General features: G+C 45.0%; 1 protein-coding gene and 1 long non-coding RNA gene across 4 annotated transcripts in view, besides 1 other annotated feature; one reads left to right on the forward strand and one right to left on the reverse strand.

Annotated features, from left to right (window-relative positions):
• The window catches only part of LOC105371623 (uncharacterized), a 48,000-nt gene extending 27,509 nt beyond the window's left edge, over positions 1-20,491 (forward strand). Inside the window, exons 2-5 of one of the 2 annotated variants that reach the window (XR_001738299.2) lie at positions 5,964-6,103; positions 14,406-14,492; positions 18,304-18,435; positions 20,271-20,491. This is a non-coding gene — a long non-coding RNA (uncharacterized LOC105371623). The remainder of the gene's footprint in view (positions 1-5,963; positions 6,104-14,405; positions 14,493-18,303; positions 18,436-20,270) is intronic. The other variant, XR_001738302.2, reaches the window with a different exon arrangement.
• The window catches only part of TNR (tenascin R), a 428,402-nt gene continuing 403,884 nt past the window's right edge, over positions 176-24,693 (reverse strand). For both annotated transcript variants that reach the window (NM_001328635.2, NM_003285.3), the window contains exons 19-23: positions 22,510-22,661; positions 20,693-20,789; positions 15,056-15,217; positions 9,338-9,501; positions 176-8,458 (exon numbers count right to left, since the gene is read on the reverse strand). In NM_001328635.2, the coding sequence (NP_001315564.1) occupies positions 8,339-8,458; positions 9,338-9,501; positions 15,056-15,217; positions 20,693-20,789; positions 22,510-22,661 (695 nt within the window). In that variant the 3' untranslated portion in view covers positions 176-8,338. The remainder of the gene's footprint in view (positions 8,459-9,337; positions 9,502-15,055; positions 15,218-20,692; positions 20,790-22,509; positions 22,662-24,693) is intronic.
• Positions 23,515-23,809: a silencer, noted in NCBI's record as "tiled region #1508; HepG2 Repressive non-DNase unmatched - State 13:Ctcf". NCBI's record gives its function as "represses a minimal TATA promoter and a strong SV40 promoter by Sharpr-MPRA in HepG2 cells {active_cell/tissue: HepG2}" and the evidence as "EXISTENCE:reporter gene assay evidence [ECO:0000049][PMID:27701403]".

Genomic DNA, 24,693 nt, shown 5'->3' on the forward strand with positions numbered 1-24,693 from the left:
AAGGGGGAGCAGGGCCATGGGGGAGAACAGTCCACCCAAAGGGTGATGCGGAGAAGATGGGCTGGCAGAAGCAGGACTGAAATGTTAAGGAGGGGAGGCCCAGAGAAAAGAAGCCAGGCCCATTCTTAAGACAGGCATGCCCCCCAGTGCCCCTAGGACTCAGAAGACACGCATCTTTCTTTCAGGATCTTTTATTAACGTATAGAAAATGTGTTTAAAAAAGGAACTATACAGAGGCTAAAAGCAACCAGGACTAAAAATACTAGTTAACAATGGTTAACAAGCAGAGATTCCAGTCTTTGAGCTACAGTGCCATGAAAGGATCAGAGAAGTTGGTTTTTCCTCTCCCTTCCTCTGTACATTTTTATTTTTATTTTAGCTAATTAAAGTGTGCATCGTCTGAGGAGTATGTACTCCATTTTCTTTTTTTTTTCTTCCTTCCAGTCTTTCTTTTAAGTAAGCGCTTTTTCAAGCTCATTGTAGCTACAAAGTCAATAAATTGGTCTTTGTTATTTTTACCTGAAAAGGCTGTTAAAGGTTAAAATGACAAACTCAAATTCAAAGGGATTGGAGGATTTGGTGTTTATGATTTCTCAGAACAACAATCTAGAGACCACCAGGGTGGGTTTCAGCTGCTCGGAGCCCCAGTTAATGACCCCCTCAGTGTCACAGTGATTTGCTTAGGGTACTTGGGCATCCCCATGGGCCTGGGGAGTATTCGAGGTTGGAATCATTAGATGTGTGTGTTTGTGCATGTGCACCTGTGTATGTGTGCATGCATGTGTGTGTGTGCATGTGTGTGTGTGTGTGTGTGTGTGTGTGTGTGTGAATGATTGGAAGGAGGAGCCTGTGTGTTAACCAAAATAGACTCACATAGATTCTAAACCTTGAGTCTGTGGGACCATGGTGTGAGTCTGGGCCTCCGCAGTTGGTAAAGGAGCACTTAGTTGGCCGACATTTTTGCAGGAATTGAAGTGTCTATTGCATCTAATGCACAGGTGTCACTGCTGCCCAAGCAGCCCCCACACTGGAATGGAACCAGTGTTCTGGGGTTCTTTCTTGGGGAGATCTATTCCTTTATATATAAACATCATTCAATTAAAGGGAAGGGGTTTATGTCTGGAGTTTTGGCCTGGCAGCTAAAAATACCAGGTTGCCAAGTACTGATTTCCTTCTAAATTCCCCAAAGTAGCAGAGAAAGCTGATATTGTAGCCAACTGTCTTCTGATGCCTTCCCACCCACTAGGGATGTGGGGCAGGTAAGGAGTGGGGAAAAGAAACCAGGGGGATAAGTAAACTGAATGTATCTCCTGCCTTCTAGCCTCATTCCCCAAATATTTCCACTGATGTACTCCCGCAGGGGACTGTGAAGGTGTTTGTACCCCTGGGAGTCTGGAAGGAGGTAGCCTAAATCAGTCTACAACCTGCTGGAGTTAGCCTCAAAATTTATAGGATATCTGCATTTGTGCTATCCATACTGGTTTGAATACACTAATAATATAATCCTTTCTTCCCAAATTCTGGAGTAAAATTGATGCTCTGAGAACATGTGCCATGTTTATTCTGTGGCTTCTCCTTCCTCAATCCTGGCTACACTGCCTGCTCCAGCTTGAAAAAAATGACTGGATATCCCACTCTTCTAATGTTGGGATGTTCCCAAAAGAGTGGGGTGGGGGGTATTGGGTTTATGTTCTGGTTCTTATCTTCCCCCTCTCATTCTGTTGGGGACCCTCTCCCTCGTCTACCAAATTTAAAAAGAAAGAAAAGGAAAGAGATGTCAGAATGTTTCTTATTCCCCATGATGATGAGATTGAGGGTCCCCTGGAGTACATGGCAAAAATAATGCAAGAATTTCCTTTTCTTAAAAGTCAGAAGAAGTGGCATCAAAGCCCCCTTGTAAGAATATTAGTAAAATCCAAGATGGTGGTCACTCAGCTAAATAAATATAAAGAGCAGCCTCATGAAGTGGAAAAATCAAGGGCTTCAAAATTAGACAAAGGTTCAGATTATGGCTCTATTTAGTAGCTGTGTGACTTTGAGCATGTTACTTAACCTTCCTGGCCCTCCCTTCCCTCTTCTATAAAATGGTTAAACCTGACTTAAAGTTTATGGTGAGGATTTAGTAAAGTAATATATGTAAAGCCCTTTGCACAGTATCTGGTAAATAGTGGGTATGCAATAAATGCTATTTATCTTAGTGTTCATTTGTGGAGAATCAAATTAAAAAGCCTATACCAGACCCGAACTCAGCTCTGTTACTAATTGCCTGTGTGAATGTGAGCAAATTGCCTAAACTTTCTTGCCCTTGGTTTCCTTGAGAGGAAATAAAATGAGAGGATTATATTAGATGATCTTGAGTCCCATCCAGCTCTGAAAGTGTATTTCCAACATTTGCCTGTTGGAGGCAGTGTTGAGCATATTAGTGCTCCATGTCAGAATATTAAAGAGCAACACAGGGTCTCCCTAGGGGCTGCTAAACCAGTGATGGGAAGAAAATAACAGTTCATGCATTCTTGTCCTTGTGTTCACTTACTGACAGTGCATCTGGACTGAAACCCTTTCTTGTGACCTAGGTGTTCTAGACCTGTTGGGTGTATGGCTTGCTTCTCAGGGAAGATGTTTGCACCACCTGACCTGAATCCATGGTGCCAGTGAGTGAGTGCCAGTACCCAGGAGAGCTGGCCTCATAAGGATAATAGAGTTAAATGTTTTTGAACTGGAACTTTAGCATTAGCCTGGCTTCATGGCCCAGACAATAAGGAGCTGTTTTATGAAGTTATCAGAGGGGGCTGAGTGTGTCTGAGGAACAAGAGCTGTGTTATTTGGATGCACTGCAAGAGCCTTATTAAGCTTGAGGAAGGAGAGAGGATTTCCCCTTTGGAGAAAATGCAACACTGTCCAAAGACTGTGAGGTTTGCCAAGGACATTTGGACAATGAAGTGCTGCAGGTGCAATGAAGTCATGTTTCAGGCAAAGATTGACCTTAAAAAAATAAACAGAATGCTGGAGATGACAAATCAGGCTTGTGACTACTGGTGACGCAAAAGTCAGATCCAGGCAGAACTGGTTGAGCAAAGAAAGAAAGTCCTTCTGCTTCTGGTTTTCGGTGCAGTGACAGGCCTTGGTGCCTTAGTTTCTCCTCAAGTTAAGTGGGTGAATGGCAGAAGCTCTGGTGGGAGGCTGGAGGCCAGAACGTGAGAAGCCAATGCTGCTTCCTCTCCCATGGCCGCTCCTGCCTTGTCTCTGCCTTTCAGTGTGGTGCCACCGGTAGAAGGCTTGTTTTGAATCTCCAATGATCCATCAGCTTCTTCTTAATTTTATATTTTTCTTCTTTCCACCTGTTTCTCAAGGCTTGATGAATGTAGAACTGGCATAAACAAATCCAGAGTGGATACAATTAGAAAGAACCAGAGACATTTTTTCAAATTGGACCTGAATCTACACCAATACATCATCTTAAAGCATATAGGAGTTACTTTCCCTGCTTGCTTTTGAAAGTTTTCATTTGGTCTGTGAGTTCTCATCTGGACTGGTAGTGTCCAAATGACCCAGTATTGTTGAAGAAAGCTTTATCACATATGTGTAGGATTGGGTTATGGAAGAAGCAAAGGTTTGAGGAGGCATTCAGCTAAACATCTTCAGGAATGTGGTCAAAGAGAGGCTACAGGAACAACCCCAGGGGCCAGCCTGTAACTCAGCTTTCTTTAGAGGATAGACCCTCTCTGTCATGGTAACCTGGATGAAAGCAGACCATCAGGGAAGTGAGGCAGAGCTGAGTATGCAGCTCCTGGCATCTGGGTGGGAGGCAGACTCCCAGACTTCACACATCTGCCCCATTCCTCTGAGGTCCTGAGACTCCTCCTGCAGCCGTGGCAAGTTTGAAGCAAGTGAAAACAAATTATCCCAACTTCTTTGGGATTATTGAAACTGAACTGAATTTTGAATCTTTCAGAGGTTTCTTAATAAAAATTTAAGAGTGGACAGTGAGATGCAAGGAAGGCGGAAAGTGTCCCCCAACCCCATGCCCTACCTCCTTGGAAGAAAAGACATGGAACTAAGAAATCAGATTGACTAGTATTCTGGTGATAAGAAAGCAAGCAGTAGAATACCATATATCCTGGGCATGTGGCCCCACCTTTCCTGAAATTCTGGGTGGAGGTTACAAAAAAGAAAAAGAAAAAGAAAAAATGTTTTCATGTCCCTAGGGTATTTGCAAATCCAGGTCACCAGCTAGTCTATTTCAACACCCATAGCTTGGTGTATCTAGTGTTCTTGCATGTTCTGTCTTTTCTCCAGAGGAGAGGACAAAGAGGAACTCATAAACTCTTTCCCAACTGATGCTTTTACAAGAGCTATTTGAAAAGATTCCACAATGACTTTTTGTCCCTTAATCTACAGCTCTGCTCTGAGACTGGATTTGAAAAGTAAAAATGTGATTAGGATTGTTTGGTTTGGCATTGAGGTTATTGGCAACCATGGTTCTTTAGGTCTGGCTTTGAAATATCAGGGTGCTGGTTGGTTCTCAGGTGGAAGGAAGCGGGGCATTAGGAGTCCTACCACTTTATGAGTAGTAGAGGGGGAAGTTGGTAGGTGAGGGACAGGTGGATTCAAATATTTGTAGATGTTTGCTTTGCATTTCCTTGCTGCCATATGTTGTTGTTGTTCTTTTACAAATCAATCTCCCATACAAATCAGCTGGCCGGTTTTCCTGAGTCCTGGTTTGGCTCTCCTGGAAACTTGGAGACGTGGCCTTTCTCAACCCCGCTGACGTTTCACACGGGGTTTCAGGAGGTGACTGCCACCTTGTGGCCACACTTAGCAAGTCCCCTTCCACCAGTTCACTGTGGTCTCAAGGCCAACAGTTTTCCACAGACTTGTCATTCTTGCCACCTCTTCTACACCTGACCCCTTCACCTTCCAGAAATAACCCTGGTGAATGTGCATCTGATATGTTGGAAATTATCTTTATATGTTGGGGAAATGCAAAAAAGGGAAACTGCCTGGACCTTGGGTCTAGACAGTGAATCTATTGCAGTCATTGGTGGTGGTTTTGGTTTTGGGTATTAGTACATATCCTGATGTGTCTGTAGTTAAACAGCCTCTGAGAAGGGTCTACCTCGATTCCTTTTGAGTCCCTTGAGGGAAACTGGTGTGCATAGGGTGGGTGCTTTGAGAGTATTGCTTACTGGATCTACCTTTGGGAAATGCAGTTGTGCTTGGAGGAGCAGGATAAGCAGGAATCAGCGAGGAAAGTTATGAGCATTGAGTCAAGTTGACCATAGACCTTGGGATGAGAGTGGGGCACAGTGTCTTTTAAACATGGTGAAAACTCATGAGAAAATCACCCTATTAAATAAAAGGAATCTATAAATCCTTTTATAGAGGGTTGAATAAGCTGATCTTTGAAGTCTCTTTCTTGCTTCAAAATAAAGCTATGCAATGCCGCTGGTACTATTTATAAAAATGTTCCATAGTGTAGAATGGTTTCAATAAAAGGAAGATTTTTGTTTCCACTGATGTTTCTTGACTTTCACCTGAATTGACAACACATAATCTTTTTCCATTTCAACTTCCTTGATGAAGTGGGCGTGCTGGCACCACCCAGGTACCTGGTCTCTGTTTTTATGGACAAAAAGAGTTCAGCCTCTCACTCGGCATGATCTTTTCTGCAGTATTTTCGTGTGTGTGTGTGTGTGTGTGTGTGTGTTTTACTTATGACTCCTGAATCAATCTCTCTCTTTTCTTTCCCTCCCTCCCTCCCCTTCCTTCTTTCCTTCCTTCCTTCCTTCCTTCTTTCCTTCTTTCCTCATTAAACAGGGAGTCTAGTGAATTTTCATTACCTAATTGTGCTGTCCCACCATGCCAATTTCTACTTAGGTTTTCAGATCACAGATTAGCATCATTGACCGTCAAAACTGAAAGGGAAATTAGAACTCATTCTAGTCTAATCTCTCATCTGACAGATGAAGAAACTGGCCCAGAGAGGTGAAACAACCCAGCCGATGTCATGTCGTAGCTAAGATGACAGCTGTTGGCCTGTACCTCGGCCCTCAAGTTTCCCATGCAATGTGCTTCCTACTATTCATTGTTGCCCCGTCTCTAGGTAAGTCTTCTGTAATTTACATGCTTGTTGAAAGGATCTGTTTCTGTTTTTTCCTCCTCCCAGTTTGTTGAAGCCCATGGTTAACTGAGAAATGCAAGTGGTGCCTAGGTTTTTCAGGGTTATGCCTGTCACATCCACACTGCCGCAGTGAACAAAGCCTAGAAGCCTGCGGCAAGGGAAGCGCCTCCATTCAATGGTGGCTGGCTGCATCCCCATGAGGTCCGAGGCCTGATGGTCAGCCCAAGGGACTTTTCATCTTGGTTCTCAAAGCTTGGTAAGAGTGAGGATATTTCCATTAGAAAATTGCCGACACTAAGGCTCATCCAGTAACTGGTTGGCAAAGGTACACACTGCTCTGGTCAGACAAACATAGGCACTACAGAAAATGGTGCTGGGCCTTGAGGAATGGGAGAGGAAAGGGAGAAGACAGCTCAGGGAACTGGGCATGGATCTGGGCAGATGTTGCGGGGATGGTTGCTGATATTGGATTTGGAGGAGAAATTGAAAGGTCACGGCTTCTAGAGCATCTAGCTCTCTTGGGCTTAAGATCAAATTGTGCTAGTGAAGACAGTGCATCTCATAAAATGGGAAGTAGGCCCACAGTTATCACCTATTCACCTTTGGATTTCTGGATGTAATTTCCTTTGGCTATTGTCATTTTTCCTTTGCAAGGCAGAATAATAAAAGAAGATGGAAAGGCTTCTCATGATCTCACCTCATTAAGAAGGTCATTCCTGTTTCCCATAGGACCAAAAAAGAAAAAAAAAATCAACCTCTTTCCAGGATTATCAGTCAGGGGTATAGCTCTCTGGGCATATACCTTCTTCTCCTGACTCTTATTAAGCCACCTACACTAAGGAGGGCTTGGGTGAAGATAGATATGAGGCCTTCGGTTTGCAATTCAGAAAAAAAGAATCTGTGACAAATAGGACCAGAAATGGAGAAAACAGGGCTAGGGAAGATCTGTGTTTCCCATGGAAACTATAATCTCTATGGCAGTGCCCTGATTTTGACTTCTTCAGTCCTTTCCTCAATGCTTGACCCAAAAGTGCTAAAAACTACAACCATCTCCCCCTCCTACCTTTGCAGAAAGTGACTGTCTGTCTGACCTGAGGGTGGGGGCAGTGGCTGATGACTCACAGGCACATAGCCACTGTGCCACCCAGGGCCAGGAGCAGGCAATGCCTTGGGAACTAGATTCCAAAATGCTGGTTGGGCTTTTGAGGCTCTGGGGTCTAAGACAGGATGGGATTAGGCAAAAGACTCCATCAGGGCCAGAAAAGAGCCACTGTTCTTGAAAGGTAACAGGACATGTGGCTGGTATAATAAGAGTGTCAGAAGATGAGAATCTTTGGCCCATTATAAAGGACTTGGGGCTGGATGCAGTGGCTGTAGCCTGTAATCCCAGCATTTTGGGAGGCTGAGGTGGGAGGATTGTTCAAGGCCAGGAGTTTGTGACCAGCCTGGACAACACAGTGAGACCCCCATCTCTACAAAAAATAAAAGAAAAATCAGCCAGGTATGGTGGCTCATGCCTGTAGTCCCAGCTACTCAAGAGGCTGAGACGAGAGGATCACTTAAGCTCAGGAAGTCGAGGCTGTAGTGAGCTGAGATTGCACCACTGCACTCCAGACTGAGCAAGAGTGAGATACTGTCAAGAAAGAAAGGAGGGAAGGAGGGAAGGCAGGAAAGAAGGAAGGGAGGAAGGAAGGAAGGAAGGAAAAGAACCTGGGTTGTTGGGATGCGGTGTAGTTGATCTGTTTCCTTTTAAGGGGAATTGTTGGCAAAACTCTCTTGCTGAGGCTCTTTTCTCTGGGCCAGTGTGAGAACCTGGCCATGTCAGGCTGTGACAAAATCACAAATACCTGGAAGGCAGAGGACATCTCAGAAGAAGGGTAGAAAAATGTGTGTGCCTGTCACCATAACAATCTGCACCCCACGACTTGGCTTTGAATTGGCCCTTTAAGAAAACTTCCTACTTCTCCTCCTTGGTGGGAAAGGAGGTGAAGGTTGAGGAGGCCTGGGTAGGAGGGAGAATGGAGACTGAGGGTCAGGCTCCAGGGCAGCAGAAACCAAGAGCAGATGTTAGCCAGCGGATTCCTGCGACATCCCTGCTTCCTTCACATACTCTTAATATGTTGCAAAACACATTGCTATTACCCTCCCCCCTTGTTTCATATTATAAAATACAAACAAATGACAGAAAATATTGGTTGGCTTGCAGCCGCCCACTGCTCAGAACTGTAAGGACTGCCGTTTTCTCCCTGCCATGAGACGGTGGTTGTAGGGGCGCATCTTCATTTCCACAAAGGGGATGGAGAACTCATGGCCTTTCCAATGGTACCAGTTGATGCCCTGGGCGTGAGAAAGATAAGCATGTCAGGTCATCCCCCACCATGGAACGCCCCACTTCAAAAAAGGGGTAATTATGGGAACAGGGAATCCACAATGTGGGGTTAGCTATTTTCAGCTAACATGAAGCTTCAAGGCCGAGTTCCCAATAAAGTGAAAGGGGCAGAGTCTCTTTCTAGCTTTCTCCTTAAATGTGCCGGTGGCCTGGGTCTTTCCAGGGAACATGTTGCAGGTCATTCCTTATTGCCAGCTTTGTTTTTGGCTTCCAGGAGTGGCATGCACCAGTAGATGGTTGTGAAATCCCAACAGGGTGGAAGCATTTGGAAGAGAATAACTGTGTTTGACTGCTCACTCCTAATGGGAGACTTAGGCGGTTTCTACCTAGGGTGACAAACCCTTTTGGTTTGCCTAGAACTGAAGGGCTTCCCTGATGTGGGCTGTTTCAGTGTTAACACTTAGAAAGTCTAGTTGGTCATGGTGGTCTCCCTGTCACCCAGCTTAGCCTATAAACTTGTGGTCTCTGATAGGGAAAGATTGTCCAGTTCACACTGGTATTTTCGATGTCTACCTTCCTGGGACCATTTTTAGGGTAAAGTTGAGTCTGTGAAGCTGTCCCCAGGACTGATAAGCTCTCTTCATGGGATCTTCTGGATCCAAGGGCTTCTCTGGGTAAGTTCTGGCTCCTGGGTCCTTTCCTTTCCTTCCTCTGGCTTCTACTCTGTCCTGATCTTATCCCATTGTCTGCATTATTTTTCTCAAGACTCAAAATATTTCTTTTTAAAGGGAAATGAAGGACTCACATGTGCTTTTAAAATATAAAGCTAAGGGAGCACGGATTCCACAGCTCTGGCTCATTCATAGCAGAGGTGGAGCATCGCTTACCTGACTGTGCCTGGACTCCCCGTACTTCCCATTGAGGTTGGTCCGGTGGCAGTTCTTATACCACCATGCTCCCTTGTACGACATGGCACAGTTAGTCACTGCAACATCATTGTCTCTATCCTCTGTGGAGAAAGGGCGTCCTTGATGATAGCTGAGGGAGTCCCCTGCAAAAAAGATACATTCATTAGGCTGTCCCATTTGTCACTGCTTTATCAGGATTTTCTGGACACTTGACCCACTTCCAGCAAACCTGGCTTCCACTTATGGAACCTTTTCATTTCCACCCAGTTTCTCAGAGTGGCTGTGCTGAACTCTTACTCCACCTTACCCCTGGGGCCAACCACTTCCATGCTACTCTCTCCAACCCACTTCCTAATCCCTTTGACCACCTTTGCTGAGAATTTTCTCCACTTAACCCCATCTCATTGCCCACCCCACCCCCAACCCTCAGCTGTTTCCTCCCAGCCTGTACGTGGACACAGGCCACTCATGGTTCCTCCTGTCTTCAGAGGAGATGGTGATGAGCCAGGCAGACTTGGGCCATTCTAGGGCACCACCATGCAGCCTCAGCCTGGCTTCTCCCTGGCTTACCAGGCCTGCTCAGATGACACCCAAGAAACTGCATTCTGAACTTGAGGCCACATGGGAAGAGGGGCATCAGCAAATTAGAATTCCCATCCGTAAGAAACAGGATGATGAAAAAAACATAACCATGTCAAAGGAGAAGTGCTTGGGACATCTGGGCTGTATCTTGGGGAAGAGCGGACTTCAAGAGGGAGACATGGCCTGTGATCACTGTCACCAAATATTTGATGGGCTATTGAGAAAAAAATTAAATAAATTCTGTGGGGAAGTATGAGGATTAGTAGGTGGAGATGAAGACATTTATGCAGCCAACAGACACATAAAAAATGCTCATCATCACTGGCCGTCAGAGAAATGCAAATCAAAACCACAATGAGATACCATCTCACACCAGTTAGAATGGCGATCATTAAAAAGTCAGGAAACAGCAGGTGCTGGAGAGGATGTGGAGAAATAGAAACACTTTTATACTGTTGGTGGGACTAAAAACTAGTTCAACCATTGTGGAAGACAGTGTGGCGATTCCTCAAGGATCTAGAACTAGAAATACCATTTGACCCAGCCATCCCATTACTGGGTATATACTCAAAGGATTATCAGTCATTCCGCTATAGAGACACATGCACACATATGTTTATTGCAGCACTATTCACAATAGCAAAGACTTGGAACCAACCCAAATGTCCATCAATAATAGACTGGATAAAGAAAATGTGGCACATCTATACCATGGAATACTATGCAGCCATAAAAAAGAATGAGTTCATGTCCTTTGCAGGGACATGGATGAAGCTGGAAACCATCATTCTCAGCAAACTATCTCAAGGACAGAAAACCAAACACAGCATGTTCTCACTCATAGGTGGGAATTGAACAATGAGAACACGTGGACACAGGGTGGGGAACATCACACACCAGGGCCTGTTGTGGGGTGGGGGTAGGGGGGAGGGATAGCATTAGGAGATATACCTAATGTAAATGACAAGTTAATGGGTGCAGCACACCAACATGGCACATGTATACATATGTAACAAACCTGCACATTGTGCACATGTACCCTAGAACTTAGAGTGTAATAAAAAAAGAGAGGCATATTTAGGCTAAATATACAAGGATAAATTACCTAAATATTAGAGGTGTTCACAAGTGGAATAGACTGCTTAAAGAGGTGGTGAGATTTTTATTCTGAGGGGCAAACAGGCTGCGTGTTCTCTTTTGGGGATATTGTGCAGGGGGCTCAGGTAAATTGTGTATTTAAGGTGAGGGATCAGACTGTAATTAAATTATAACAGTTTATAAAACTTTTAGCAGGATCAGGATTTGTGGCTCAGGATGTTGTGAAGGGGGCTCATGCTACTTATTGAATGAAAGAGGTCTTGGGTGCTTTTGAGCTTGTGTTAAGCGAGGAAAGACCTATTCTGATTCTGTGGCTTCTGAGTCCAGGCTCACAGGGCCACTCAATGCCTCTGATGCCTCCCACCACAACTTAACTCTCAGGAGGTTGACCTTTATTTTATAGGGAAGGCTGACGCCCTCACTGGGGAGGCCCTAACTCAACATGACATGATCTTCATTCCGTCTTCTTCGTCTTCCCCTTCCAGTCTCCAGGGACTCAGATTTTTATGCCCATCTAGAGTTAACCCCACCATCTGCAACTCACTCTTTCCCATCTCTTCCAGATCCTGGAAAAGTTAAAACATATTGCTTACTTTTTCCTTTTTCTTTTATTTATTTATTTTTTTGGTGTGAGACAGTCTCGCTCTGTTGCCCAGGCTGGAGTGCAATGGCACAATCTTGGTTCACTGCAATCTCTGCCTCCCAGGTTCAAGCGATTCTCCTGCCTCAGCCTCCCAAGTAGCTGGGATTACAGGCATGCACCACCACACCTAGCTAATTTTTGTATTTTCAGTAGAGACGAGGTTTCACTGTGTTAGCCAGGATGGTCTCGATCTCCTGACCTCATGATCTGCCCGCCTCGGCCTCCCAAAGTGCTGGGATTACAGGTGTGAGCCCAGCCCTTTTACTTCTATTTTTTTTTTTTAAGTTTTCACCTCCTCTCACCTTAAGTTACATTTATATCCTTTGTCTTAAAAATTCTTAGATTAATCCTACTCCTTAATGATTATTTCTTTCACTATCAGTTCCTTGATTATGCGGTCTCCACCCACATCCTATCTTCTCACTCCCTGCGTCTCCCTCTGTCATCTAGAATTTGTCTTCATTATTCCCCTGGAGCAGTTCTCTCCAGCTTCCACTCTGAGGCTGCCTTCCACTGTCGCAGATTGCTCCCAGTGTTGGTCTTTACATCCTCCCAAAGCCTGGCTCCCCTTCCCATTTCTGCCTCATATAGCCACCTCATGTGTTTAACACATTAAGTCCTGGTTTCTGTCTCTCAAACCACTGTTCAGATTTATAATACCTTTTTCTTAATTTCCAACATTAGTCAAGACTCCTATTGTCTCCTATTAGGTCTGATGCAGCAGCCATCAGCCGCTCTATGTTCTTCGCTCGGACTTACTTTATCCTGTTTGTGGCTGTCACAGGAATCTTCCTAAACCCCACTTCTATTTTTCTTCTTGGGACCTACAATGGCCCTCCAGTGCTACCATGTTAAGACTGAATTCCTCTGCCCCTTGGTTTTCCAGCTTCTGGATCTGGCTCTACCTGCCTCACCAATCTTCTCTATTCCTCCTGAATTTACATTTTGCCCTGCTCTGCCAGTCCCTTCACAGCCTCCCCTCCTCCACAGCATCTGCTCCTTCTGTAACTTCCAGGGTTTATTTTCCTTACCATGGGAATCCCAGTCGAATGCAGCTGCCTTTATGATGCCGTCCTCCACCACCCAGACTCCTCTTCCACAAACACCCCTTAAACTAGAAATGAGATGCCAGATGCAGTGGCTCACACCTGTAATCCCAGCACTTTGGCAGGCCGAGGCAGGTGGATCACCACAGGACAGGAGCTCGAGACCAGCCTGGCCAGCATGGCAAAACCCCATCTCTACTAAAAATACAAAAATTAGCTGGGCATGGTGGCATGTGTCTGTAATCCCAGCTACTCAGGAGGCTGAGGCAGTAGAATCACTTGAACCCAGGAGGCAGTGGTTGCAGTGAGCCAAGATCACGCCACTGCACACCAGCCTGGGTGAAAGAGTGAGACTCTATCTCAAAAACACAAAAACAAAAACAGAAAAAACTAGAAGTGAGTACCATTGATTGTGTGATGAGTTACTTCCTGTTTCTTTTTAAAACTAGACGATTAGTTTTTGTAAAGGCCATGTTTTATGCTTCTTTTGAGTCCCCACAACTTGCACAATAAACTTTTAGGAGCTGCTCAACAACCTCTGATTGATAACTTAATTTGTAATTTTCAGTTCTGATCCAAGTAGCATCCTAGAGATTTGAATGTTTGCAGCCTTGGGAAATGGGGAGCAGGAGAAAAGGCTGAACTTGGATCGGAGGCCCTGGAGATGGGTTGATTCAGAAGGCCACTACTAAAGATAAGGTCCAGGAGAACTGGGCAATATTAAATGCCAGAAGAGAGGGGATGGGCTCTTCCTCTCCAGAAACCTTCTGATCTAGAAAGAACAACCATTGTGTGGTGTTGCCTAGAGGGGATGGCAGCCTAACGGAAGCCTAGCTTTTCATCTTTTGAAGAAGATGAACTGAATATTCGAGGTGAGAGATAAGACCCTAATTAGCTGATGATGAACAGCCAAACTGTTGGCAGGATCTGCCTCTGAGACATGAGAATAGCGCACAGTCCAACTGTTCTGGCCTCCATAGGCCCAGAAGCAAGACAGAGCTGGAACAGAGGGAGCAAGGGCCAGGCCCAAGCAAGGCAGATGAAAGCACAGGCGGATGAAGAGGAGGGAGGGAGGGGGTGCTGTAGGGAAGTTGGAGGGCTGGCTTCTTTTCCTGTAGGAGAAATCAGAATGGCTTTTCTACAGGCACAATTCTAATCTTAGAAGTGAATAGCGTCAGGTGATTTTTTAAATGATTTAGTCCGGCATCTTGTTTAATATGCTCCATTTCAATGGCTATTTTATGCCCAAAGTGTGGCAAATTGGGCCTTTTGTTGGGGGCACTTCAGGCTGATCTCATTGCTGTTGGAAATGATCTCAGATGTGAGCATAATAAAGGAAAGCATGTCTTCTCTTTGGAGTATCTGGCTAAGAAGAGAAATAATTGAACAGATGCAGTAACTGGAAGGACAACACCTTAATGCTCTTCTTAATTTCAAGAGTCATAAAAATGTTGTTAAAATTATACACCAGCATTTAACCCTAGAATTGGTGTTAATGAAAGGGCCAATAATGCCAAGTATCAAACATTAGAATATTTGAAAAAGCAGGTTTTGTGAAATGTGTTATAATAGAACATGGGAAACAGATTGGCAAAGCCCAAGAAGCAGACTGGGTGTTATGTTCTGAAAAAACTACTAATGCAACCAAGCTTGATGGGATGGTTGTTCTGTTTGGTAGAAATGCTGTAAAAATCTACACAGAAAACCTGACCGTCTATGTGGTTCTTGCGGAGGAATGAAAAGAAACATGGCAAATGAGGAACAGGTAAGTGGCATTGTTTGCTCCTTGACTAGGTGTTAGCATGACCGCTGATGGACAGGGTGGGGTGTTAGGGGCATCTCAGAGAGGGGTGACATCTGTATGATTTGCACTAATTCAAAGATGGTTTTCCTGGATGTCATTGCATGGGAGATTTCTACCCAGACAGTAGATGATTCTGCTCTCACTGCATAAGAGCCCATAGTGACTAATCTAGACAAAGAAAACAATCCTTCTTCATCTTCACATTGCATCTTTTTTAAACCTTAAAAGTACAATCACTCCACTGATTTTTTTCTGACTACTCAGTGAAGTAGGGCAGGCATCCTTATTATGATTTTCCAGATGATGAAACTGAAGTCCTGCAAAGTTGCTTTTAGGTGACTGGTCAGGGAGAGCTGGGACCAGTGCCAGTGGTTCCCAGTGGCATGGCCCTTCTTCTCCCTGGCCAGCAGCGAATGCTGGAACTCTGTGGGTGCTGCTGCTTCCTGAGGCAGCTTACGCCTAGAATCTGGGGGCTCTTGTCCCATGCCCACTGTCCTTGGGGTCTGCTCAGGAGCCATAGGTACCCGCAGTGCCGTTGTAGCTTCCTATGCGGAGTTTGTACAGGTTTCTGCTGTCCTCGACAGAGAACCTGTCGTAGGAGGCGAAGGCGGCCTCTTGGCCATCCCGCATGTCCACGCGCAGCTCATAGCGGCCCTGGGATGTGATCCTGTGTATATTGTCCAGCCCTGTGGAGAAGAGCAGAAAATGCACTGAGACTGGCCCCCAGCAGCTTTGGAAAATGGGAGGGAAATGCGTCTGTGGCTTCAAAACATGTTACAGGGAAGAGGAGGGGACTCCAGATTGCTTTTGCTCTTGGTGCTTCACAGGTTGTTATCAAATGGACCCTGCCAGACTGAATTTCTTCCTGCAAAGAGGACAGTCCAGGTCTGCTGATGGGTTTCCAACACAGGAAACTCAGGGGTTCTAATACCTCCTCTTGACCCAGTAACTGACAAGCCCTGAGCCTCAGGATTCCTGGCCCTGTCCCCTCTCACCTCCTCTGCCAAACCATGGTACTAGAAGAAAATTACAAGAGGTATTACATGGATGTGAGCCCTTGGGCATGAGTGATCGAAAGCAAGAGGTGAAAACATTGATTAGAGGAGTTCAGAGCATCTGGAACATCTTAACATCTCCTAGTAGCATGTAGGAAGGGCTCTGTCGAACTTTCCTTACACTGCCTCTCCTGCCTTCAGCCTAGGCTTCCTGGGGCTCCATAGCCAGGTCATAGAATATTATTCTCTGCCTCCTGACTCCAGTCCCTTTCTCTCTAATCTGCCTGCTACATTTGCACTGCTACCTTTCCACTGGCCTTTTCAGCCAGTTACCCTCATTCATCTGCTTCTTCCTTTGCCTCTAAACTTCCCAGGCCTTGGTCTAATATATTCTTTTAAGGTGCAAACCTTTGTAAGTCCCCAGGTTAGGCAGAGTCCAGATCCCTCTTGGTGATTCTTTCTTTCTTTCTTTCTTTCTTTCTTTCTTTCTTTCTTTCTTTCTTTCTTTCTTTCTTTCTTTCTTTCTTTCTTTCCTTCTTTCTTTCTTTCTTTCTTTCTCTCTCTCTTTCTTTTCTTTCTTTCTTTCTTTTCTTTCTTTCTTCCTTTCTTTCTTTTTCTTTCCTTCCTTCCTTCCTTCCTTCCTTCCTTCCTTCCTTCCTTCCTTCCTTCCTTCCTTCTTTCCTGCCTCCCCTCCTTCCCTCCCTCCCTCCCTCCCTTCCTTCCTTTCTTTCTTTCCTTCGACGGAATCTCTCTCTGTTGCCCAGGCTGGAGTGGAGTGGCACAATCTCGGCTCACTGCAAGCTCCACCTCCCAGGTTCACACCATTCTCCTGCCTCAACCTCCCAAGTAGCTGGGACTACAGGCACACGCCACCATGCCCAGCTCATTTTTTGTATTTTTAGTAAAGATGGGGTTTCACCGTGTTAGCCAGGATGGTCTCGATCTCCTGACCTCGTGATCTGCCCGCCTCAGCCTCTCAAAGTGCTGGGATTACAGGCGTGAGCCACTGTGCCTGGCCGATATTTTCTTATATACATTTTCTTGCCTGCTTGTCATGATTAGCCATGCCCTGGGACTCTCCAATTTTGATCTACCTGCCCAAACTTTGAACCATTCATCTTGTGTTGCTGGTAATTTCTCTGAGTCCTAATTTTTATCTGCTTACTGAACTAGAGTCCCCTTGCTTTGCTGTGACATCTGATCTCTACTTGAGTATGCCGTGATTTAGAATCAAACAATTGCAGAGACTGAAGGGAATTTAGTGGTTACTCAGGCCAGTGTCTGTTTTGCGGAAGAGGAAGCTAAAGTCCAAGAGAGGTGAAATGATTGGCTGAAGGTCATCCAGATCTTTTGGCTTTCCTGTCCCATTTGAGACTTAGAGCTTTACCTTGATTATAAGTCAAAGGCTGTTTGACTGCTGTTTGCTGTTGACTGAGTTGCTGACCCACAACTCACCCTAGACTTGTGCTTGTGCAGATGTAGTAGATGCTGATGTTGTTCTGCTGGGATGTCTTTAATTGGCAGATAGATCCATCCCCCAGGCTGCTACAAGTGTTGGCTGTTAGCAACTTGCAGCTGCCTTCTTCTTGGAAAATTGCCCTTGAGCAAATGGGAGTCACTTCATCCTGGAAGCTAAGCTCTCTCCCACCATGCCTTGGAGCAGACCTCCATCAGTGACTGATGTGGAGAGGTTCAAAAGCTTGGCCTCCTTGTCTAAGTGGTGACCAGCTCTGAGGAGCAATTCATGCTCCCAAGCTTCCTTAGGGATCACACTGAAGTGAGTCTCCAGCCAAAACCACATTTTTGCAGTTTTCTCTGCCCTATTTTTGTTCCCCCATTCCCTTCTCCCCAGTGAAGTCCCCCAGTAAGTCACTTGAACAAGAATCCCTGTTTTGATCTCTGCTTCTAGAGAACCCCATATAGTACATAAACTATGGGTCACAGTGTTATCCCCAACTTGAGTATTGCTTCCAAACTACACCACACCAGGCCTAGCATCTTCAAGAGCCCTCCCTGTCTCCCTCTTACCTACATCATCAAGTAAAGACTTCTCTTTCTGATTTTTAAGTTCCCTACTGTGCCTCTATTCAACCCACTCACCTCATTGTTTTCTTTCCCTCACTGGGATTGGGTTTCCTCCCTGGCCTAAGTTTGCAGTTGTCAGGAGAATTCCTGCCTTCCCTCCTTTTCATCCCTTTCCTTCCTCCATTCTTCTGACTGACTCATCCCTCAATGCCTTCTCCAGGAAGCTGGTCTCTTCCTTCTTTGAATATCTGTGGCCTTCATTTCAGTGACTCTTATGTTAGAACAGTGTTACCCAGTGTGGATGGCATCTCTGATGACATGAGATATATAAGGCACTAAATAACCTTGAATAATAGGAAGAAAGGTATTTCCAAATTTAATCTCAGTCTTTTGTAATAGAAGAAGGAGATACCTTAACCCTGATCCTAACCTTCACTCACAGTCTCAGTTTTGTTCTAGTGTTTTAGTGGTTTGTTTAGCATGAAAAGCATGAAACACTTCCTAATCTCCATTTTTAATACCACCACCACTGCCAGCAACAACAGGCTTGGAGTCCCTGTATTTAACTCTCATTTAGTACTATTAATATAGTTTCTTTTAATTGCATTTATTTTTGAGGTTTTCTTTTTTATTTATGGCACATGATAACTAGCTTTCTATTTTTGGCAATGCTATAACATTTCTTTTAAAAATAGATTTAATTAAAGAGTAATTATAGAAATTTTAAGTGCATGATAGTTTATGTATTTCAGAAAATATGACACAAATTGTGAAAATGGTATACAGCAGCTCAGCTTTGGGAAACGTGAGTCCTGTCTGCTTATGGATGTATCGATTCATGGGTATTACACTTGTCTCCCAAGTTGCTTGCTGATGCTTTCAAGGTAAGAATATTTTTCAATTTGTTTGACTTTTATGTCAATGTTTTTGTATGGCATTTACCTTACATTTTTATTGTCTATATCAGCAAACACAAATCTGTGGATTTAATATGCATTCCATTAATTCTTATCATTGATTGATTTATTGATTATCTACATTTTAGGTACCTACTATCTCTCAGGCACTGTCATAGGTACATAGGTAATGGGGTTAGAAGATAAATATGAGGTGGTCCCAGCCCTCAATGAAGCTCACATAGCAGAGACAGACAGGAAGTAAAATGGACACTATGATCTGTGCCACAAAAGAAGGAGTGGCCACTTCTCCCACAGGCAATAGGGGAGAAAACTGGTGAGGACTGGCTCTGTGGAGGAGAAGGTGCTTAGCTGTGTCTCTGAATATACACAGATGGCACTCACCACACAAGGAATGTGGGGAAAGGAGGACAGTTGGCTAGGAGTGCTCCTGGCAGAGGAAGCATCGGGGGTTTTGCATGTGTGGAGTTTGGTGTTGGAGAGGAGTCGGGGGAAGAGCAGGTGAGGTACTTAGGGTGTAGAGGAGTCTTCAGAGGCTGGTGAGAGAGGGCCTGTACTTTGGCTAAGGCATTGGGCCTTCTCCTGGTGGTAATGTGGAGTCATTGAAAAGTTTTACAAAGGGGATTAGCCATCGCCCATATTTGGGGTGTGAGGAAGATCATTATAGTGGTCATGAACCAACCTTTGCAAAGATCATGACAGTGAGAGAAATCTAACATGGCTGATTCCTTGCTTCTGGCCTCACTGGCTGGCTGCCCTCCTCACTCATTTCTGGGCATAGGCCAAGCTAACCATGGGAGGAATTTAGTTTATAGTTTAATTTTAAAGCAAGGATGATAATAGTCCTCCCTGAAACTGCTCCCCTCCTTTTTCAGGGACTGAAACTACCTTTGCAAGACTAACGAAAGGCCAAGAGATTAGGATTACGGAGGGATTTGAGTTCTGCTAAAATGTAGGCATAGTTTCTATAATCCCTTACTGCTCAGGGTCATGTGGCCAGAGATTTGTGACTTTCCTAGTTGCTCCTATAGATAACAGCACTATTGCAGATTGGTCTTTTGAGATGTTTTTCAGACTTTTGCATTCAGGCAACGAAGTGACCCCACCTGGACCAGTGACACATGACTCAACTGGGCCTGCAGCCCCCACCCAGATGCAGACTCAGGGCACGAGGACCATTTTCCACACTCCTATGATTTTATCCCCAACCAATTGGCAGCACCCATTCCCTAGCCCCTTGCCCACCAAATTATCCATAAAAACCCTAGCTTCTGAGTTTTTGGAGAGATTGATTTGAGTAATAACTCCAGTCCTTCCACTTGGTGGCCTTGTGTTAATTAAACTCTTTCTTTATTGCAATAATGCTGTCTCAGAGAATTGGGTTTATCTGTGCAAAAGACAAGAAGAACCTGTTGGGTGATTATAGCCATGTGGACAATGGGGTGGTCCTAGAGGCAGAGAGGCCGGTAAGAAGCTTGTTATCTAGGCACCCAGGAGAAGAAGATGAGATGAGATAGTGGCAGGGAAGACAGAGAGGAGACCACAAATATGGAACTTGATAATCTTTTCCTCTACCTCCCTTTATCCATCACTATGAAAATCTAACTAAGAGGGGGACACAGGTCATAATAAATGGACCACTTTCCAGAACTTGGCACCACCACCATCTGCCTGGCTTGGATGTGTGTTTACCATCTCACGCCAGTTTGGTTCTCGATCTATATTTCCTGCCGGTGTCAGACTTCTAGGAAATTGCCAGTCACCTCTAATGCCACTTTCATTTTTTCCCTTTTCTTTCCCAGGTCAGGTAATAACATTCTCCAAGGAACTAAGCGGAGTGGCTGTCCTCATTTCTCCCCTGACCTGCAGGCTGGCTGGCTGGTTGCCTTGCTTCTGGGAGATGGCCAGGCAGCCTGTTGCTCCCTGTGCCCCTCACCGACCAGGCAGCTCACTCCCTTTGTGGCAGCCTCATGTCAAAACCCATCAGAATAAGAGACTATTAATGAGGATGGGAAGAGACAGAGAAAAGAGGGAAACACCACAGTAAGATAAAAACAGATCAATAGTGAAGCTAAACAGAGCAAGAGGTTCTGAAAGCAATTCAGGAGCTGTTAGCTTCTCAACAAACACAGGGTTTCTGATAATCTCAGATGGACACAAAAAGGAGAGAGATGGACAAAAAGCCAGAGAAGCACATCAATGGAAAGCAATAAGGAGGCTTTACCCAGCCAGAACTCATCCTCCACGTTCCCGAAGCCAACACGGTAATCAGCCCATTTCCGGAAAAAATCAGTTTGGCCATTCTGCCGCCTCTGGAATACCTATGAAGGAAATAAAAAAACAAAAAACAAACAAACAAAAAAACAAAACCCAAAGAGATGCTAAGGAAAATAAACTGTGATAAGTAAAATTGATATAACTGGGTTTTATATCTGCAATGACAAAGATGTCCAAAGAAGGAACATTTCAGAGCAGAGCTCAGTATTTACACAGCAGTTTTTGTAGGAGACACTCAGAGCATTTCTCTTGAAGTGTAGAGGCCCCTGATGAATAGGCTCCAGTGTGATGTTGACACTAATTTGCACCCCTGCAATGTAGAAAGGACTCAGGATACATATCAAGCCCTAAATATCAGGGGAAATAGGCTTGGCTCTCAAACGAATCTTTTGCACTACAGAGTGCAGTAGAAAGCATTTCTCACCAAAAGAACAGGACCAACTTCAAATCAGCTAGTAACTGTCATCGTCCTATTGCAGGCAAAGCAATATTGCATATCATTCACTTTCTGAGCTGTTTAAGTGCTTATTTTATTTAGCCTCCAATATATCAGCCTTGGCTTCAATTTCCAGTTATGCTTTAAGAAGGAGGCACACATATGTCAGAAACATAAAAGAAAATGTCTCCCAAGAGTAGCTGTTATGAGCACATCACCATTCAAAACCTACCCATTTTGCACCAGGAAACATCCAGCACTGTTAGCAGAGCGAGAGAGGGCATCCAAAGAAGGGCGGAGGGGCTGGTTTTCCATCCTAAAGCGATCCAGCTAATGTTGGGCTGCTTTAGGGCCAAGTGGTGGGAACTCCCGGCTGCTCCGACCGGCTTGCATTAAGGAGGCTGCCCTTATTTTCCCTCACTCTGTATTGCCCTATCAGGCATGGGAGGAGGGTGGTGACAGGAAACAGTGTCTCTCTTTTCCTGACCACTGGTGCTCCCTGAAGGCTGTGTCAGCTCTGGGGAAGAACCAGGGAGACCCCAGGAAGAATGGGGAAGGGGAGCCAGCTATCCATGTTTGGGGCCTCATCTGCTTTCCCAACTGCAATCCTCAATTGGAGGCTTCTGATCATCTCTCTGTGGTGGTGATCACCTCCTCATAGAGAAATAGTTTTCCTCAACTGCCTGTTTGTTTGCTTGTTTGTTTTGTTTTTTGAGTCTTACTCACTCTGTCACCCAGGCTACAATGCAGTGGCATGGTCTCGTCTCACTACAACGTCCGCCTCCCAGGTTCAAGTGATTCCCCTGCCTCAGCCTCCAGAGTAGCTGGGACTACAGGCATGTGCCACCATGACCAGCTAATTTTTGTATTTTTAGTAGAGATACAGGATTTCTCCATGTTGGCCAGGCTGGTCTCGAACTCCTGGCCTCAAGTCATCACCCGCCTTGGCCTCCCAAAGTGCTGGGATTACAGGAATCAGCCACTCTGCCCAGCACCTCCACTGCTTTATTAGAGATGCATTTCTCAGCAGGCAAGATCCTTGGGCCCAACAGACCCGCGACTGCCTTTCCCCAGCACTCTCCTGCTTAACTGTCCTTTCCTCCTCCTTCTGTGAGGACAGATATAGTTATTCCTTTCCCTGCCTGGCCAGATATATGATTGGACTCTGAACATGGGCCTTGAGGGCAATGAGGAGCCCCAAGATGGACATGTGGGGGGTGATAAAAGGATGGCCAGGAGGATGGTGAAGTTGGCTTGGCAGGTGCTGAGCTAGGTAGACTAGAACACTGAGGACGCTTCTGTGCAAGGAGAGCACAGATTGTACTTACAATCCAGCCGCCCCCGTCGGTGGTCATATCACAGTACACTTGTAATTTCTGGCTCAGCTCCCCATTGAGGAAGATGGGGTAAACCCCACTCAAAGTGTCTCCATTCATCAAATGCTGGGCACAGTCTTGGGGATGAGGGAACACCCGGCCTCCTGCAAGGAAAATAGACAATGTCCAGAAAGGATTCTTTCTCTCACAGTGCACAAGAGCTCCTTGGATCATAGAAGGTCTTAGCAGGCCTCCTGGTACATCATCAACAGCTGTAAGAAATCCTCAACGGAGCTCAAGGTGTGGGTGTGGGGACTTGGCATCATCTTGGATTTCCCTTCCACAACTGTTGTTAGACTTATCAGACAACATACAATTTCATGGGATCTGAGAACTAAAGGTCTGTGTTCATGGTCTAGCTCCACCAGTTACCTATTTATTTGACTTTAAGTAAATCAGTTGGGCGTCAGTTTTCTTATCAGTAAAATGGGGATAATAAAAGTCTCCCCCTTGAAGGGCAAAGATGTGTTAATGCAGGTAGTGATTGGTTACTCAGGCAATGATTACAGATGCATGGGCCAAAATAAATCACTGCAGACTCCACCTTTCAAAAGAATGAGAGGCATCTGAGCAAAGCTTTCTGTCATCTTTACAGTAGCCATTAAGGAATGCCCAAACAAGCTCGGCATTAGCAAGAAGATGAATTATCTATTCCTTGTACAAAATACATCCTGATTGGACTAAACAATCAAGTAGCCATGTTTTACAGTTCAGTTTAAGTTTAAGGAGAGGGCAGGGGAAGTAAATTGCAGCTCATCTTTCAGAGACAACAGCCCAATTTGTAGAACAATATCTAATTAGCTGAAAGAGGAGCTTAAATCCTGTGTCTTGAAGAGCTTAGCTTCAGGGCAAATTTTAATGCTGAGCAGGCAAGCCAAGAAGCAGAAAGCCCACCGGAGGAGCTTTTCTGAACTGCAGGAGCTGCTAGAGTGAGCTAAAGGCAGAGCTTGCTGTGTGGGAAAGGGTGGTTTGGGTGCTCTGTAAATAGTATGATCTTCTGGGTTGATGAAGAGCATGCTGCGATTGATCTAGTTCTGCATCCTTGAACTGTTGCAGTCAGGAAGAGAGGCTGGGGAGGGACCGCACGTGTCAGTTACTGCAGTATACCCTAGTGGCAGAACCGGTGCACTACAGGTGTGACACAGGGCCCGCTGGTGGGTCAGAGTAAGTGACAGCACCTACCCAAGGATGGCAACATAGCAACCTCACTGAAAACCCTGAGCACCTAAGACCCCATCATAGATCACCAGTGAAGCCTCCTGTGTCAGGAAGAGGTGGTTAGAGTCGGTTTATGGAAGGCCCCCCTGGAGATGTGTTAACTGCCCCCGCACCAGGACTGCCCTTCAACTTGCTGCCACACACCCGTCGAGGGCGCACTGGCCTAACGTAGTTTAGAACAAAGGCATTGCCTACTGCAGGCATGGTTATACCAGGGAATGACAATAAATTTCTATAGAACCTATCCTTTACCAAGTGTTTTTATTTCCATTTAATTCTTGCAAGAAACTTGAGAGGACAGCAGATTGGTATAGATATACTTATTTTACAGAGAAGGAAACTGCACTCAGAAAGATTACATGACTCAGATTGCTGGAACTCATATTTTCAGATGGCTTAAGTGCTGTTTGCACTCTACTAAAGCAGGAAATATAATGCATGATTGAATTTACTGAAGATAGAAATCTATGCATACAGCAAAGGATTAATTAATACCTGCATTTATCTTACAAGCAAAAAAACCCCAAAGATTAAAGATCTCAAAAATTTCTATGTTCAAATCAAATATCCATACCCTCTCAAACTGATTTCCTTAATAGCTGCAGAAAAGCTAACTGTCATCTGCAGAGTGTCCTAGAACTCTTCATAGTTCCTGATCCCACCTACCCCTAGAGGCTACAGTTACATTTCAGGAGACAGGTGTGAGCTGTCTCTGTCTCCTTCCCTGCTGATTTGGGAGCACTGCTATTATCTCCTCATTCTTGACCTGGCCTCTGGAACAACCAGCCTGTCTGCCTTTCTTTCTCCCCTTTCATCTCACTGTTTGAGTTTCTCATTTTAGAAGATCAGCAATTAGTGCCCTTGGTCTTTAGCTTACTCCTAAGGTATGCACTAATAGCCCCTTTTCCTGAAGAAAGG

This window comes from Homo sapiens, chromosome 1 (assembly GCF_000001405.40).
Source record: "Homo sapiens chromosome 1, GRCh38.p14 Primary Assembly".
In the NCBI taxonomy this organism is placed as follows: Eukaryota; Metazoa; Chordata; class Mammalia; order Primates; family Hominidae; genus Homo; species Homo sapiens.